The 19,441-nt window shown below is 41.1% G+C and overlaps 1 protein-coding gene and 1 long non-coding RNA gene across 8 annotated transcripts in view; one reads left to right on the top strand and one right to left on the bottom strand.

Moving 5' to 3' along the window:
• Positions 1–2,428: 2,428 nt before the first annotated feature.
• Positions 2,429–7,472, top strand: SNRK-AS1 (SNRK antisense RNA 1). The gene is made up of 3 exons (NR_046757.1): positions 2,429–2,793; positions 3,010–3,060; positions 4,414–7,472. It is a non-coding gene; the product is annotated as an SNRK antisense RNA 1 (long non-coding RNA).
• Positions 3,248–19,441, bottom strand: part of SNRK (SNF related kinase) — a 64,604-nt gene continuing 48,410 nt past the window's right edge. For all 7 annotated transcript variants that reach the window (XM_047448396.1, XM_005265245.4, NM_017719.5 and 4 more), the window contains 3 exons: positions 13,892–14,104; positions 10,913–11,047; positions 3,248–7,052 (listed from right to left, as the gene is read on the bottom strand). In XM_047448396.1, coding sequence (XP_047304352.1) covers positions 5,834–7,052; positions 10,913–11,047; positions 13,892–14,104 — 1,567 coding nt within the window. In that variant the 3' untranslated portion in view covers positions 3,248–5,833. The remainder of the gene's footprint in view (positions 7,053–10,912; positions 11,048–13,891; positions 14,105–19,441) is intronic.

Below are 19,441 nucleotides of genomic sequence, written 5' to 3'. Positions count from 1 at the left end.
AACTGGGGCAGAGGACACACTAGGGCCTTGTGGGCCACCACACAAGGATTAAACTTTTAAATCTGAGATGGAAAGCCATGGAAGGATTTTGAGCAGGGGAGTGACCCACTATTTAGACTGCTGTTTCTGGCCAGGATAGAATTAGAGGAATTTGATTGACCCTCTTGCCTTAAACAACTAGGAAACCAAACAAAATATATGGAGCAATAGTTTCCAGACATTGAGCAACAGACAGCATAGGGCTGTCACCCCGAGAGAAGGGAGGCAAATGAGGTGAGCCCTGAGTTGAATGCCCCAGCTCACTGCCCAAAGGCAGTTGCCAGAACACAGAGAGGGAAAGCCCAAATAGTCTGGTTGAGTTGAGCAGGTAGTTTGAAGTTCAAGATCAATGTGCAGGGCAGAGAGGAGGGAGCTGCACAGATAGTGAGCAAGCTCCAAAAGAAAATCTGTGGTCTTTGGTTGAGTACTGATCAGTACTTATGAGAAAACTACCTGAGGCTGGAGAAAGAACCACTGGAAAGCAGCAGGCTGAACAATGCTCAGAACTTACCCAAGGCTGGTAATAGTTCATGTTCCTACCAGCCAGAGTAGAAAAGCCTCAATAGAGTCCCTAGAGAGGTATTGCCTCAGTAGTGGGCCAAATTAGCCCTAGACTGAAGACTGCTCAGGATCTGCCCTAACAGTTTAAAAGTGAGACATGAAGGATCCAATGATTTTAAATAACTGCAGTCCAAAATGAAATCCAATACTTCTCACACGAATACAAAAAATTCCAGCATTCAACAATGCAAAATTCAGTGTCCAGCATTGCAATAAAAATGAATCAAGAATTTTTATACCCAATGATAATATCTTTCATAAAGGAAAAGTAATTTTTCAAAACAAAAGCTGACAGAATGTAATGCCAGCAGATCTGCATTATATGAAATGTTAAAGAATGTTCTACAGGCAGAAGGAAAACCAAACTGTGGATCTACACAAAGAAATGAAGAGTGCTGCAAATGACAAATATGTAGCTAAAATACTCCCCCCCCCCCTGTTTAATCCCTTAAAAACTAGTTAAAACAATATTTATACATATACAAAAATAAAATGTATGACAACAGTAGTATAAGGAACAGGAAGAGGAAAATAGAGGCATACAGTTGTAAGGTTTTTATATTCTACATGAAGTGATATATTAAGATAGACTGTGATATAATAAAATACATGTATTGCAAATCTTATAGCACCCCCTGAAAAACAAGAGTTACAGCCAATAAGCCAATAGCGGAGATAAAATGGAGTAACAAAAGGTGCTCAGTTAAACCAAAACAAGGTAGCAAAAGAGGGAAAAAGAACAGACGAGACAAATAGAAAACTAGGTAGGTTTAAACTCAACCATATTGACAATTACACTAAATGTAATACATCTAAACCCTCAATCAAAGACAGACATTTGCTGATGGGATAAGAAAGCAAGCTCGAACTATATGATATCTGCAAAAAACAAACTTTAAACATAAAGACACAATAGGTTAACAGTAAAGAATGGAAAAAGATATATTCTCACAAGTCAAAAAAAAGCTGGAGTTACTGTATCACTATCACACAAAGTAGATTTCAGAACAAATAGTTTACCAGTCATAAAGAAGGAACATTTCATGAGGAAAGGGATCAATTCATTGATATGACGTAACAATCTTAAATGCTTATGTACCAAACAACAGAGCTTCAAATTTTCTAAAATAACACTGCTAGAACTAAAAGGAGAAATAGACAAATCCACAACTATAGTTGGAGATTTCAACACTCCTCTCTCAATAATTGAGACAGAAAATCAGTAAGAATATAGAAAACTTGAACATTATCAACCAACTTGAACGAACTGACATGTATAGGACACTCCACCAATAGCACTTTCCAAGCACTCAGGAAACATTCACCAAGATAGGTCGTATGTTGGGCCATAAAACAAGTTTCAGTAATTTCAAAAGATTTAAACTATAGAAAGCATGCACTGATAAAAATAGAATTAAACTAAAAATTATAGAAACCTATGTGGGAAAACCCCAAATATTTGGAAACTAAACACGTTTCAAAACATGGTATGATTTAGCCTTTAAAATGATCTCTCATACTGCTAAGTGGAAAATAAATGAGAAAGACAAGGGCAAATGCAGGGAAACCCTTTAAGAGGCATTTACAGTTGAGTGTCATGGACTAGAGTGGTAGTGGTGGTGGCAATGAGAAGGAGTCAACTGTGAAAGGCAAGTTAAGATTTGCTCATAAACTGAATGTTGGGATGAAAAAGTGGATGACACCAAGATTTTCAGCTTGAATGAAACTATTGAAGGCTAGGAGTTGATATTTATTAAGATGGGTGCGCTAGTAAAAGGATTTGAGGGGAAAGATTAGGGGTTTTGAACTTGTAAAAATTGAGATGCTGTAGACACACAGACACATCCAAGAAGAAAAGTCAAATAGATAGTTGAAATCCAGTGTTCCCAGGGTATGTGGGCTAAATATATTTTGGGCTTCTATCAGCATATAGATACTAGACTAACTGAGATCAGGAGTCACTGCAGATAGAGCAGGGGTCCAGAATTGAACATTGGGACATTCCAAATTTAGAGGTTGGAAGAATGAGGAAGGACCAGTGGACATGAAGAGCAGCAAGGCAGAAGTGAGATACTGAAAGATGGGAAGTTCATAAGGAAGAAAGTGAGCAATTCATCAAATTCTAACATGGGATTGAAAATTGATCACAGGAAGTGGTTGCATGAGGCTGGAGTAAAGGGAGTTGCGGACAAGGTAAAGTATGCCAAAGGGCACAAGATTTCTTTGGCGGGCGGGGGGGGGTTGTAAAAGTCAATTATGGTAATGGTTGTGAGAACTGAGTAAGAGTAGCTGACCTTGGAATCACAGTAACAGGAGGAAGGGCAGAGCATGTGAATGTGTATGAAGGAAGGGAGGAAGGCAGAGGTGGGAACTTGTGGCAGTTCTCATTGCTTCCCTTTATTCAATTAGGCAGCATGGTGACCAGCAGAGTGAGGAAAGGAGATGAAATAGAGAAATAAAGTAAGTATACTTAATGGGCACCCTGGCCCCACCTATGATTTGTAGCCATGAGTTTAAACATAATAATGACTGTACTTTTTCAGCCAAATCTGGTGGTGCAGGCACAGGGCATGGAGAAGGCTGGGTCTAACTGAGGTGGGATCACACAAAGCTACACTCATGAGAAGCAATACAACACAGGACACGGTTTATATTGCTGAACACCAATATGTCACTTTATTATTTGGATTTTTTTTCCCATTTGTCACATACCTGTCAATGTTTACACAATGAGGGAAATCAACCAGCATTGGAAGCAACTGACCAAATCAGTTGATAATTCTGTACCCTCTTAACACACATCAATTTTCACTTGGTAGGGATTATCTTTAATTCGGTCTCACAGCTATTCTTAAAATTGGTGTCAAGATTGTCACATCTTTAAATACAGATAGAATTGCCAGAAGTACATAATTATATATATATACACACATACAGAAAAATACAAGACTGTTTTTCCACAATATTTAATTTATACACTACTGTAACTATATGCAACTTTTGAAGACAGGTTAAGGGGTACAAGTAACTGTTTAGAGCAAGTAAGTAGTTTGGTCCAATATTATCTTAATGTAATGGTTTTTCGCTCCCTCCCTTTTATGTGACGACATACTATGACATACAAAACATGCACAATCATTCACTTATAAACAAAGGAGTAAGACACCACTCAGACTGACATTTGTATACCCCAAGGGTCAACCACACAACTAATAAGGCTATAATACAGCTATGCAGCATAAATGGTCAACACTGCTGATCCTAAAGTGAGCACCATATATACATCTGAATATAAAAAACCATTGAAACCAAACACATATGGGTTAGTTAAAAGGTGCCATTCCAAGGCTATACATAATCACAGGAAAAAGTATTTACACTGCTTGGAAAACAGCTGCAACAAAGAGTTTATTGCCAATGCCCTTTATAAACTTCTCTCCTATGTTTAATACAGATGTTACGCTCACTATCTATGTGAACCACACATCTTATTTCTGGCCCTTTATAAGATCCCTGCTCAAGAATTTCAAGCAAATATGTTCTATGGCTTCACCCACACATCTATTCTCATAGCTTTCAAATTATAAATATCACAATGAACTAGAGCTGTAGCTTAAAACATCTAGCCTAGGTCTAGAAAGTAAAATAAGTATTTTAAGTATCATTTTTACTTAGTTTAGTAAGTATACTGTGAAATTCAGAGTTCTGAGTAAAATATATTTATCCTAAAGTAGCAGAGTCAGTGTGTACTTGAAGAAACAGTGACCACAGCAATGCAGTTCTTTGGTGATGTGCCCACTCTCTGAATTACAGGACCAGATGCGTCTCAGTCCGTCACCTCAGACACATGACTCGGGGCTGAAGAGTGGGGAAGGGCCCTGGGTCCCAGCCACATGCTATCACCAATGTTGCTAAGCACTGCTTTTAAGACTCCCAGGGCACTGCATGAAAAAACAGCAACTGGCCCCTTCCATAATCAGCAATTTGCAATATACAGTGTCCTACAAGATAGAATGCCACAACAGATGATTATCTGGTCAAAAACAGTCTTTGTACAGGAATAGGTTAAAGCAAGAGTTCTTTGATTATTGTTTTGGCAGAAAAAGGCAAAGTGAAAAACAATTCCAGAAAAAAAAGTTACGAAGCAGGCTTTGTGCATTTTTGTTTGCTGTATGTGTGAATTTTACCCTTTTATGTATATTTTTTCATCAGCCAATTTCAAAGCTAGCTGAGCCAAAGGATATAACTGAATGAAAATAACAAAAGAGATAATCTAATTACCAAACTCCTAAAAACCAAATTCCAGTAGGTTTTAATTCATGGGGTTTTGACTTTGCCAACATTTGTGTGCACCTTCTGTACTAGGCCCTATAGTTCTTCTATCTACATGGAAATCCTGCAGTGTGCCCTACAGGAAGGAATTTACACAGAGCATCTTTTTGTTCTGTTAGACAGACATACACTCTCTAAGTAGAGTTAAGACATCATCACTTCATCACATTACAAAATAAGATTGTCTGCTTGTAATTTATCACTACAGGGGAAGCTGCCTTATAAATCTAAGTACTTTATCTCACCTATTACAAAAACAAGGAAATCTTTTTCAGTTAAATTTTCAGAGCCCAAACTTTGTTTTTACACTATAGCTTAAGACAAACAGGTGTGGGTATGTTCAACTGTGGTTTAAGGTTCTCAGTGCAGACACTCACTGTCCTCTGCTCTGCACGGGCCATGGACAGCTGGGCGGCACAAGGTCGCTAGCTGGCTCCAGGCCTGTGGGCATCACAACGTTATTGCTTTGGTTCTGTCTCAGACACCAGAGAGTGTGTCTCAGAGCCTAGGGTTTCCACATCACAGAAGGTCAGGACAGGAATTCAGATTTTTCACAAAGAAAAGCATTTTTTCTCTCTCTAGGTTAAGTGCAGAACAACAAATTTCTAAGTGCTCCATTTATAAGAGGTTCCAGATATATATCTTGATTTAATCCTGATCATCCACATTAAAATTATGAATGTAAAAATTACATAATAGGCTTTTCGGCTGGGAAAGAAAAGTGTCTAGCAGCATGCACAAAGACCATGCATTGTCACATCATCAGGCGAACAAATGGAAAGGTAATAAATAATTGCTCCTAACGCCCACTTTAAAATAGTAAAACCAAATGGAACAGTGAAGTGAGCCGGTCTTCACTGCTCTGAGCAGGAAGCGTGCTAGCGGCCAGATGGGGCCACAGTCAGATGACATGGCAACAGCTGGCTGGGCTGGATGCGCACAGCAGCCCCTCCTTAGGGTTCCGCTGGATGTTCACAGAGATGGTCTTTTCGCACAGAGGTAGCTGCAGCACGTTATTTTTCAGGTTCTTGCTCTTTATCCGTTCCAATTCAGTGGTGGTATCTGCCATGTGGTCAGAGAAAAACTTTATGCCGCCCACTGCAGGGACCTGCCCTGCATTCCCTGTGGAGCTAATGCACATTTTCCACGTAGATTTCTCTTGGACTTTCACACTGGAAAATGACAAGCCATTCTGTGGATCAATAATGTACTTGGTGCTCCCATGAAGCTGGGAGCCGAGGCAGAGGCTCATGAGTTTGAGGCTCTCAACGAGCTCCCCAGCACTGCGAGAGGCCAGCTGCATGGAGTTGCTGGGGCCGGCACAGCGGCGTGTGGTACCCGATGTATTGGTGGGGTTGCCACCCGAGCCGCTGGAGGGACTGCCCCCACCAGCATTGTTCTCACTGGGGCTGGCCTTGTCCACCCCTCCACTGGCATTGCTTGGCTTGCTCTGGCCCCCGCCATCCCCCTCACTGCCAGGGGGCCCCTCGCTGCTATCCCGTCGGTGCCAGGAGTAGGTGAACCCGCTATCTTTATCGAGCCGCCGCCGGCTTTCAGAATCATCATCACTGGTCTCCGAACTACTGCAGCTGGAGCCCCGGCCCTGACTTTTCCTCCGGTGGTAGCGTTTGTGAACTGTACCTGGAGAAGCTATATTCATCTTTAACCTGCTCAACTTGGGAGGCAGATTCTCATCCATGTCAAACTCATCGTCAGATTCCCCTTCCTCAAAGATCTGGTTGAGGACGGGCGCACTCTTCCTGGATGTCAGGCGGTTGGTTACAGATGGCTTCCGGCGCAAAACCACTTGTGTTGAGAGGGACATGGGTTTCTTGTCCTCCTCATCTTCCTCTTCATCTTCTTCCACCCTGAACAGACACTTCCGCCCACTGGCTGTGGGTTTTAAGCTTGCGGGTGGCACCGTAGAGAGTGCTGGTCCAGCCAACTCAGGGAGGTCATCTTTCTTAGCTGAGTCACACAGGCCTTTGCTCCTGTGGCCATTGAGGACACTGTCAGCAGCCCGAGCAGGAGACTGAGGGACAGTCGCGTGGGACAAAGGAGTGGCCGTGAGGTCATCCTCAAGGTCCTGGGGTACATCAATTTTGGTTGGCCATGACTGCCTATGTAACAGATAGATTGGGGGGAAAAAAGCCATATAATCATTATGCAGATGATAGTAAAGTACATCACAATGAACTTACTGGGACAAAATCTACAGACTTAAAGAAAAAAGCAGCAGCCTTGCAAACCCATTCAACATCCTGTAAACATCAGCAAGGCCACCAGAAGGGCAAATGTGGTTTTGAAACATGGTTCAGTTTGTGGCTTATTGGCCAAGTGAAAACTTCATCACAGGTGTCAGAAAAGAAAATAGGGCAAAGAGCTACTCCATCTTTTCTATACAAAAGCTTTATACTAAACATTTTTTAGAAGCCCATGGAGGTTATTGGCAAAGCAAAACCTGAACACCACGTCTTGTTTCTTTGGTTCTTAGATCACATAAAGGTATATTACTACAAATAAAATTCACCTGAAATTTCCAGGGCTCCTGATTTTACCATGGGGTAAGAACTTGGTGTTTATAAAATGAAATGGAAACAGTTTAATGGATCTGAATTTTAAAAAAGTTATAACACGTATACATCATACAAAAACATATAAAAATCTCTTCTCCAATTAAAAAAAACTAAGTTAAATATAAATATCTGGCTTTTGAGACAGGGTCTCACTCTTTGTTATTCAGGCTGGAGTGCAAGGGCATGAATGCAGCTCACTACAGCCTTGACCCCCTGGGATATCAAGCAACCCTCCCACTTCAGCCTCTCGAATAGCTGGGACTATAGGCGCACACCACCGTGCCAGCCTTAAATAAGTATATTTTTAAATGCCCATACAAGAGTAGTGAATAACAAAATTCACCATTATTTAAACTTTCATTTTATCTCCCAACCTGGAGCTGGAGTTGCCAAAGTAACAAGAATACTGCTTGGTACCCAAAGAAGATGAATTTTTTAAATGAGGCTCTCTAGCTGCTATTCTGAATAAACGTCTCTGAACTGTCAACTATCCTCTCTCCCCAGGGGGGTATAGTCATATAGTTATAATAATAAAGCAGGAACAAAATTTTACCAGTGGCCACTGTATGTGGAATATCTACTAGACTTGCTATGTGCAAGTTTTCTTTTGTTTTGCACAGGTTCCCCTTTAATAAAATAAACCTGTCATTAAAAAAAAATTTAAATTTGAAGCTAAGAAGCAGTATTCTCTGAAGTGGTCATAACCGAACAATGACTAACACTGTGTGGCCACGTCCTGCTTATGGGTTAACTTCTTGGTTTTCCATTCCAGAACTATCTGGGTGCAGTCTATGAGATGCCTACCCTGCTATCTGGCTCCTCCCTAGAGAGTTCCAACAGTGCTGTCCTCGGCTCTACAGGGCAGGCTGGAGGAAGAGTCTCCGGAGTCTGCAGACAGGCCCCGGACACAGTCAGTCCTAAGAGTTCTCAATTAGAAATAATTCTAAATGCCTAGGCCCTTCTCTCAGACCTCATGTTCTTCCATACGAATGTACTGGGGCAGCCCTACAATTATTCATATTTTTAACAAAGTTAGTGCTACTATATCTGAAACAGAATCTGTTCTAGAATTTAAGAAACCTTAAGCTACTTGATTTGACAACTCCCAATACCACACCACCTCACTGCTGCAGGATCCTATCTGTACCAACACCACTCCTTTCAGCTAAGCCACATCTTATACCTACATTCTTGAGATGGCATCTGGGACTTCATTCTCTAGTGGAGTCCCTGTGTTCTCCCTCAATTCCAGGTCTAGGACCCTGCCCCTGGACTCCAGAACCTGCAGGCCAAATCCCTGTTTCTTTCTGCCTACCGAACTGCTTGTGAAGACACCCAGCCCGGCTAGGAGACTGGATATCAGTCTCCTGTTAACCACTCATCTCAACTGGCCTGTCACAAATTCTTCCAGACTACCCACTGGCCACAGAGCATGTATCTGTTCTCTGTGGCTGTGGTTCTCACTGGCCTGACCCTTCTTCCTCCATCCCTGCCCAGCTAGTTGCCATTTTAAATACAGTCTCCTGACTCAGTCCAGGTTTCTACCTCCTAGGTCATTCTGACCACAAGGCATACCCAGCAATGGAACCAAGGGAGGTCCAGGGTCTTGTCGATAACGTTACAGTGACAACAAAGAGAAGGCAAGTCAGGAGACACTGCCACTGCCAGTGGGCCCTGTGCCATAGAAAAAAAGGTGCTCATAGCTTCTCCACTTCAGAGTCTCCATGACAGCAAAAGGAAAACAGTTCAGAAAGCTCTGGTATTTTTAAATTTTTTTTATTTTTAATTTTTATAGAGACAGGGTCTATGTTGCCCAGGCTAGTCATGAACTCCTGGGCTCAAAGGATCTTCCCACCTTGGCCTCCCAAAGGGTTGAACCACTGTGCCTGGCCTACTATTTCTTTATAGCTAATGTTGGTCTCACATATACAATCAGCTTTAGACTGAGTTCTGGTATGTTTCACTGAATAGAAGAGAGTTCAAATCTAAATATTCTCTTCCAGAAGCCTGGTGGTAGCTCCAGTCTCGGTGCACCTGGCGAGTAGTGATGATCTGCCTTGGGGTTACTCTTTCTTGCCAGGGAGCTCAGGTCAGGACTAGGTTGACCGTAACCTCTGAGCATCAGTCTCTGGTTTATCTCATCCCCAAGAATTTCCTCACTCCCTGGGTTCAGTCCTCTTCTAAGCAGACACTAGACAGTGTGCCTAGTTTTTATTACAGAGGAATGCATCCAAGATATGAATAAAGTTACTAAATTCATGTTCTAGTTAAACTAGACTTCTAAATCTTTACTGTTTGGCAAGCTGGGAATGTTTTCCTCCCCCTACTCTGCCATTCCACCCAAGCAACAAAGTTCACATGGCGAGCCAACTGCAAGTAACTTAAAATCGAAATGGCTTTCTTAATCTTTTACAATCATAATATTATTATTCACAATAATATTCACACACATATATTCATAAATACTTGGAGGTACACACAGATTTACTCAGAATCAGCAGCACTCTTCTGTTTTCGAACTACAGTTCCATGGGTTACTTTATCTGAGTGCATAAACTCGAAATAAATTTCATGATGATAATGAAAAAAGTAAGCCCTTTCCATGCTTTGATTTTAAGTGGAAAGTTACTCTGGCAGAAAAGCAAAGTGGGAAGGCTGGGGGAGAGGAGGAGGAGGAGAGAGGGGGTTAGAAAAGGCTTGGGGAGCAGCACGTTCATGACTTTATTGAAGACAATGGTGGTAAAATATTCCCAGCAGTGATGGCAAACACACAAAGCCCTGGTTCTAAGTGCTTTACATATATTAATTCATCATTCCTCTCCACAACCCCATGAGGTAAATAGCATTGTTACTTTTGTTTTACAGATCGGGTAGCTAAGTCATAGAGAGGTTAAGCAACCTCCCAAGGTCAAGCAGCTAAGAAATCAACTAGCTAATGTTGACTATCCAATCCCGGAAATCCTGAGAGAACACTGTGGCATAGCAATACTCTATTTAGTTTTAAAAATTACTTCAAATAACTGAGGGAAAATTCAGCCTTGTTCCTAGAATGAAAAACTAAAGAAAATAACAGATTAATACATGTTGGATTTGGAAGAATTTAATGAAAATAACTAGCAAGACACTCTGGCTTGAGGCTGCTTCTCCAAACATGTTTTCCTGACCATGCCAACAGACACAGCCCCGGTCCCCACTGAGCCCAGAAGGGGACGGCATCCCTGGTGACGAGGGAACCCAGACCCTCATGTACACCTGAAGAGCCCGTGTGTGGCCTCTCCAATGAGGCCGTCATCACTGTTTGTACTCTCTTGCCCCAAAGAGTTAGGAAGCATTAAAAAAAAAAAAAAAAGTTCGCTATTTCAAAACGTTAAACTTACTAAAATCAGTGAAGATTTTTTTCTCACCTAAACTGGGCCTTGATATTGCTCGGGCTTGCAGATCTGGTCTGTATTTCTTTCTCTTGCTTTTCTCTCAGGATCCTTTCAGCCAGCAGGAAGTATGTGGCTGTGATATGGTTATACCTGTTGGTTTCCAGGGCTCTGAGGAAAACAAGGTGAGAGCAAACGTCAGCCATATCAGGAGGTTTTTTTACAAGAAGCAGAATTGATTTTTAAAAGTACAAGCAAGTTAAATTCAATGGCTGGAATCTTTAAAATTATGCAAAAAATGCAAACCAGAAAAAAACCAAACTAGTAGTTATTTAGGTCACTCAAAGTTCTAAAAACAACTGCATAAAAATGTTCATATTTTTATGAAGATTTTTCGTAAATGAGAGAAAAATCCAAAATGCCAACAGCAGCTGAGTTAGACGTCAGTTTTAGACACATAAGATAAGTGCACGCATTATTCAAAATTTGAATTTGTGTGTACAGTGTTTGTATTTGTTCAGGTGGTTTACTTGCTTCCACTAGAAGTACATGAAGACGAAGTCTGTGTTACATGAATGTGCACTGAAGTACTAATATCAGTCAGAAAACTTAGCAAATGTTTTTATTTTCATACTCCCTCTGCATTTACTGGCAATTTAGGCACTACAGAATTATTAAAGAAATTGAAAGCATGTCACCATCAATTGCTTTGAATAAAATCAATGTAGTCATTGATCCGTTTAAAAAGTAATGTTCACCGAGTACCTAGTCTGGCTAGACACGGTGCTGGGACACAAGGCCCACCAAGGCCCACAGCCCTGCCCACTCTCTTGTAGCTGACCTGTCACAGGACATACATACTAGGAGTGTGCTTTGGCTTTGGCGGATTCCACAAGGCCAGGAAATACGTAACTACGTTTTCAGAAACTTTCTGTAGTTACTGAAAATACTCACACAATGAACACTTAGGAAAGAAGCAAGAGACACCATTTTTCAAAATGTACACTGGGGTCACAACTAATGGGGGCAGGGCAGGCTGAGGCATGAGATTACAAAGGAAGTATCCAAGGTGAAATTCAAGGGTAGAATGACTTATTAGTTTCTTCAGCCAAGTACTAAATACAGGAGTTGGCTTGGGTTTGGAAATGTATTGTGAGAGAAAGGTGTGTGTTGGAACTCAGGAGTCACCCTCAGAACAAGCAGCTTCTCATGATGTGAGCAGCAAGCACGGAGTGAGGCTAGCTGAGAGGACAGCAAGACGCTCACCCAGCTATCGGGAAACCAACAAACTGGCAAACTGGAGTCACCTGAACCATTTAAATTGCACTACCTTTTGGATTTATAATTGAATTTATATTAAGTAGTTCTAGATGACACTACTACATGTATATATGTATTTATTTAAGCTAAGAACGTAAGGCCAATTCAGAGAGATACAAACAGCCTTTTACCCACTCAAAAGTGAAAAATCATTTTCTACACATTCCAAAAGTCAGTGTCTGTAGCAGAAACAGCAAGTGTCCCGTCTCCACCACATGTTTAGGTCATTTAAGTAGCTGTGAGTCAATACTGTAAAGAACCATAATACATTTGGAAACTTATAGAAAATTGTGCTTAAACCAAAATTAAGAACCTGGGTTTATTTTTATAAACCTTTCTTTCCAGTAATGTAAAACACTCTAAAGTGTCCTTTATACAGACACTGCCCTTCTCAGGGATCAGAGCCTCCCAGTGGGCATGTGTGTGGCACGAAGACACACAGCAGGGGTCTGCAGGTCCAGCCAACAGGCTTCTCTTCCCCGAAGTCAGGGAACTGGATCAAATCCTGAAAGGGCCCTCCTGATGGGAGCCCCTTTTTTGCCTCCTAGAGCATACTCTCTTTCGAACATACCCAACTGTTTCATTCAACAAATTAAATAACTTCTGACCTTTAATTTGTGGAAATATTCCTTGTTTTTACAGTCAGGACCTCTTATAGAAATTAATCATTATCAGAAAAAAGCAAATGCCTCTTTCCTCTGTATTATCTTTGATTCCAAACTGTTTATTAAAATCTGGCTTTGGGGCTGGGCACAGTGGCTCACACCTGTAATCCCAGCACTTTGGGAGGCCAAGGCGGGCGGATCACGAGGTCAGGAGATCGAGACCATCCTGGCTAACACAGTGAAACTCCGTCTCTACTAAAAAATAGAAAAAATTAGCCGGGCGTGGTTGCAGGCACCTGTAGTCCCAGCTACTTGGGAGGCTGAGGCAGGAGAATGGCGTGAACCCGGGAGGCGGAGCTTGCAGTGAGCCAAGATTGTGCCACTGCACTCCAGCCTGAGCGACAGAGCGAGACTCCATCTCAAAAAAAAAAAACAAAAACAAAAAAACAACTGGCTTTGGTTTTAAAGGATGTAATTAACAACTTGTATAACTTGCAGGCTCCAGGTGGCTGCAGCAGGGGCTCTCAAGGGCCAGATAATAAATATTTCAGGCTTTGTAGGCCAAGTGGTCTCTCCCACAACCACTCTGCCATTATAGCACAGTGCAACCACTGACAATACTTAAATGAATGGGCATGGCTGTGGCCCAATAAAACTTCACTTATAAAAATGTGTGGCCAGCAGCATTTACCAACTCCTGACTTAGAGGACTCTAGGCAGGTGGTACTGTTCTCCCTATCACTGTGGGGACCGGCAGGAGACAGAGGAATGAGAATAGTGCCACAGATAAGGTACATACTGGGATACAAAACAAGCTGTTTCATTCCACCCCTATAGAATGGGGAAAAGGCCACAGCACTCACTGAAACCACCCAGCAATGGCTTACTTGTTCACTAGCATAAAAACCAAAACACCAAAAAAAACCTGTGTCAGGCCCTGGGCCAAGAACTTTAGAGATAAATGACACAACTCTTGCCAACTGGGAACTCTTATCTATTACACAGGTGTCCAAAGGCTGTGTTAAGTAGAGAGAGCCCATTCCAAGAATCCTAAACCTGTGGCCCTCTGTACTGACGGGCATTGACGTACTCTACAATGGCGTCTCGATCCGCTATGTCCCCAAGCACCATGCGCTGAATGATGCTGTTGTGCTCCTCTTCCGAGAGATTTTTGTATGACACAAGGGGAATGTTATACTTTGTAGCTGGTGAAGGGTCCACTCCCTGAAGCCAAGGATGATTTTCAATCTCTTCTAAAGAAGCCCTTCTCTTGGGATCTCTCTGTAGCATCCGTGTGATTAGGCTGGAAAGGAAGGTAAGTCCATTGTTAAAGCAAACTGCTTGCAAGGATCAGTAATGATGGATCATTTTATTAACAAAAATGATTTCCTATACCATCAATTAAATTAGGTGCACTAGTGGTGGCAGTGGGGCAGATGGGAATAATAAAAATTTAGTGCCACTGCAGTCATAAAATAAAAAATCACAACCTCCAGGTACGCTGATAAGCCAAATGCACAAATAAGAGCTCCCTATCATCCAGAATTAACTATAGGTATCAACATCTGTTCTTGAATTAACTGCTGGCTTAGTGACATACCAGAATTAAATTCAAGGATCAGCAATGACATACAGAATAAAGTATACAAGCCCACTTCTGTTTCAGAAAAAAATGAATGATGCTTCTGATGACAACAACTAAAATACCATGTAACATATATATATATATATATATATATATATATATATATATATATATATATATATATATTTTGGAAATGGAGTCCCACTCCATTGCCAAGCTGGAGTGCAGTGGTGCAACCTTGGCTCACTGCAACCTCTAACTCCTGGGTTCAAGCAATTCTCCTGCCTCAGCCTCCTGAGTAGCTGGGACTACAGGCACGTGCCACCACACCCAGCTAAGTTTTGTATTTTTGGTAGAGACGGGGTTTCACTATGTTGGCCAGGATGGTCTTGATCTCCTGACCTAGTGATTCGCCCGCCTCGGCCTTCCAATGTGCTGGGATTACAGGCATGAGCCACCGCGCCCGGCCCATGTAATGTATTTTTAGGAAACTATTTTATTTAAAGGCACCATTTTAGCAGAATAAATAAGTAACACTCAGCAACTAAAAATGAAGTAAAACAGAACCCTTACGAAATGAATGACAAAGCTGGCCTTTGGCCTGTTTCTGCTTCAGCTTTACAAGCTATGTTGGGTGCATATAACAGAATATAATGTGTAAGGCCTACTGAAGGTAGACAGCACAACTAGAGCCCTTGCAAAGAGCTAGGACTCCAGCTTCAGTGTAAGGATAAATGAAAAATGAGAAACAACTTAGATCTTCTAACTACAAGCTGGTCCTCACACAAGTCTGTGTTCCAAACTAATGATATCTGTGTGGTACACAGAAGTTAATTTATAGTGCTTTCAGCTGGAAGCACTCCTAGGCAACTAGTAGAGAAGTAAATACACCCACCCTTCCTGTAGGAATGTAACTTAAAACCAGCCTCAAATAATTCTCCAAATAATATTACAAAGAATATCAGTCAAAAACAAAAAAGAAACAAGGTACCAACAGCAAGACCTAGGAAACACAAGCAAAATCAGAATGCGAATACTTCAGATACTGAAATTTTCAGATGTAAAATGTAACTGTGTTAAATATGTTTAAGACATGAAAGAGAATCTTGAAAATAATATAGCCAGGGAACTAAAGATGATACTTTATACTATAAATAAAGCTACTATACATAAAATTACTAGGCAGTTGAGAAAAAACTAAATAGGGCTTCTAAAAATGAAAAATAATCAGTGTAACTAAAAACAAAATCAATAAACAAAATTTAAAAAGACACAGAATTAATGTAAGATAAAATTAAGGAAATAACTATCAATAGACTGCGTTAGGAAATACAAAACAATTTTATAAAAAGAAGAGGACAGAGTGAGGGAAATGAGAAAATGAGGAAGAAACTGTATTTGAAAAGATAATGGCTGAGAATTTTCCAAAATTCATCAAAGAGCACACATCTTGAACCACTAAGCCTAACACATCCTAAGCACAATAAATAGAAAATCTTAAAGCAGCCTAAGTGAAGACAGGACACCTACGTGGAGACAAGAAGATGATAAGATGGACAGCTGACTTCTCAACAGCAACAATGGATGCCAGAAAACAGTGGAATAATATCTTCCATGAGCTGAGAGAAAATAACTGTCAATCTAGAATTCCATACTCAATGAAACCATCTTTTAGGAGCATAAATAACATGAAGACATTCCAAATAAAAACTGAGAATGCTTATCACCAACATATGCTCATCCAAACAAATTCTAAACAATTTTATTTTGACAGGATAGTGTGATTCCACTTGGAAGGGTAAACAGTTTCTGTCAAGCATCTGGGTAAATATGAAATTTTTAACTGTGTAGAATGATAATCATATCTACTTTGTGGCATTTGAAAAGTTATTAAAATATTGGATGGTAGTTAAAATATTCTAAAGATTTTGTGTTGTTCAAGAAGAGAATAAAGAGGCCAGACGCAGTGGCTCATACCCGTCATCGCAGCACTTTGGAAGGCTGAGGCGGAGGGACTGCTTGAGCCCAGGAGTCTCAGACCAGCCTGGGCAACATATCAGACATTGTCTGATATGATTAGGCTTTGTGTCCCCACCCAAATCTAATTTTGAATTATAATCCCCATAATCCCCATGTGTCAACAGAGACACCAGGTGGAGGTAAATGAATCATGGGGGCAGTTTCCCCATGCTGTTCTGATAGTGATGGTTCTATAAGTGTTCAGTAGCTTCTCCTAAGTTCCTTTTCCTTCCTGCTGCCTTGTGAAGAAGGTGCCTTGCTTCCCCTTCACTTTCTGCCATGACTGTGTTTCCTGAGGCCTCTCCAGCCATGCTGAACTGCAAGTCAATTAAATCTCTTTCCTCTATAAATTACCCAGCAGTTCTTTGTAGCAGTATGAAATGGACTAATACACCATCTCTACAAAAAAATTAAAAAAAAAATTAGCCAGGTGTGGTGGCTTGCACCTGTGGTCCCAGCTACTTGGGAGGCTGAGAGGTCAAGGCTGTAGTGAGCCATGATTGCACTGAGGCATTCCAGCCTGGGTGACAGGGTGAGACCATTCCCCCGACACCCTCCAAAAAATAAGAATAAGCTATAAATTTTGTTAAATTAAGTATAAAAACATGAGGCCCCTGGGCACAGTGGTTCATGCCTGTAATCCTAGCACTTTGGGAGGCTGAGGCGGGTGGACTGCCTGAGCTAAGGAGTTCGAGACCAGCCTGGGCAAAATGCGAAACCCCATCACTACTAAAAATACAAAAAATTAGCCAGATGTGGTGGCGTGTGCCTGTAATCCCAGCTACTCCAGAGGCAGAGGCATGAGAATCACTTGAACTTGGGAGGTGGAGGCTGCGGTGAGCCAAGATAGTGTCACTGCACTCGAGCCTGGGCGACAGATCGAGACTCCACCTCAAAAAAAATAGAAAAAAAAGGTATAAAAACATGTATATTTGGCCAGGCGCGGTGGCTCATGCCTGTAATCCCAGCACTTTGGGAGGCCCAGGCAGGTGGATCACGAGGTCAGGAGATCGAGACCACCCTGGCTAACACGGTGAAAACCCGTCTCTACTAAAAATACAAAAAATTAGCCAAGCGTGATGGCGGGCGCCTGTAGTCTCAGCTACTTGGGAGGCTTGAGGCAGGAGAATCACTTGAACCTGGGAGGCAGAGCTTGCAGCAAGCCGAGATCACACCACTGCACTCCGGCCTGGGCAACAGAGCGAGACTCCGTCTCGAAAAAAACCAAAACCAAAACAAACAAACAAAAATGTGTATCTGTGTTAAAACAGGTAGAAAAATCACTAAAATAACAGACTATAACTTCCTAGCTAATTCAGGGGGAAAGTCAAATGAGGGGAAAAAGAAAAACCTTGGCAGGGTGTGGTAGCTCATGTCTATAATCCCAGCACTTCGGGAGGCAGAGGCTGGAGGATCTCTTGAGACCATGAGTTCAAGAACAGTCTGGGCAACATAGTGAGACCCGGTCTCTACAAAAAGTTTAAATATTAGCCAGGCATGGTGGCACACACCTGTAGTCCTAGCTACTCAGGAGACTGAGGCAGGACAATCACTTGAGCCCAGGAGTTGAAGGCTGCAGTGAGCTATGTATGATTTTACCACTGTATTCCAGCCTGGGCAACAAAGCAAGACCCTGTCTAAGAAAAGAAAGAGAGGGAGGGAAGGCGGACAGAGGGAGAGAGCAAGGGAGGGAGAGAGCAAGGGAGAGAGGGTGGAGGGAGGGTAAGGAGGGGAGGAAAGGGAAGGAGAGAGGGGAGGAAGGAAAGGGAGGGAGGGAAGAAAGAAAGAAAAAGAGAAAGAATGAAGGGGAAGGGAAAGGAAAGGAATCCTCCATCAACTCCAAAGAATGGGGTAAAAAGAAAAAAAAAACTGAAGTAGGACAAACATAAAACATATAAAAAGATGGCATAAATAGATCTACATCTATCAGTGACTACAATAAATGTAAATGGAATAAACTCTCCATTTAAAACACAAAAATGATCAGATGGGATTAAAGAAAAACTCGGCTCCAGCCTGTTAAAAAAAGATGTATTTAAAACCAGGACAATGGGAAGTTTAAGAAAAGAAAGAAAAACTCTACAGCACACAAATGGTAGCCAACAGAAGACTGGTGTGGCTGAAATTAGACAACACAGACTGACTTTAAGGCAAAAAAGCAGTACTAAAGAGGGCCATTACCTCATTGATACAAATTGATAGAATGGGAAGATACGACACTTTTCAACTTGTTTGCACCTAATAACATTACCTCAAAACACTCAAAGCAAAAACTGACAGAGCTCCAAGAAAAAAAACAAATCCACCATCACAGTGGAAGAATACCTCAGTAACTGATAGATCCAGTAGGAGAAAGAAAAACTCATACAGGATGCAAATAATTTTGAACAGCATAATAAAAAAGCTTGATCTTAAGGATTTATGCAGAACTCCAAAACTGGAAAATATACACTATTTTCCAGAACAAAAAGACCTTATGCTAGGCCATAAGCAAGTCTCAGCAATTTGAAAAAACAAAAAAACAAAAACAACACTGGTACCATAGAGGCTATTATTATTGGACCACAACACAATTAAGTTAGAAATCAATAAAAAGCTAATTAGAAAAACGCCATACATTTGGAAATGTAAAACACCCCTGTAAACAACTCACACATGAAATAAATCAACACAAACTAGAAAATACTTATTAGAACTGAATAACAAAAGGACTATAAATCAAAACTAGTGGGATGCAGCTAAAATGGTATCAGTAGGCAATTTATACCCTTAAATTATTACAACAGAAAAGGGAAATTTGTGAGCTAAGTATCCAACAACAGAAAGAGGAAGAACAGAATTAGCCCATGGAAGTGAGTGGCACGAAATACTACAGACAAGAGAAAAGAAAATTAATAAAACATAAAACAAAAATTATAATTGTTAATAAAAGCAAAAGGTAGTTCTTAGAAAAAGACTAATAAAATAACAAACTTCTGGCAAAACTGATCAAGACAAAAAAAAGATAAGGCACAAATTATCACTATTGAAATTAAA

Source organism: Homo sapiens, chromosome 3 (genome assembly GCF_000001405.40).
Source record: "Homo sapiens chromosome 3, GRCh38.p14 Primary Assembly".
NCBI classification, from domain to species: domain Eukaryota; kingdom Metazoa; phylum Chordata; class Mammalia; order Primates; family Hominidae; genus Homo; species Homo sapiens.
Note: the sequence above shows the minus strand (reverse complement) of the source record. Positions and strands in the feature narration are given on the sequence as shown.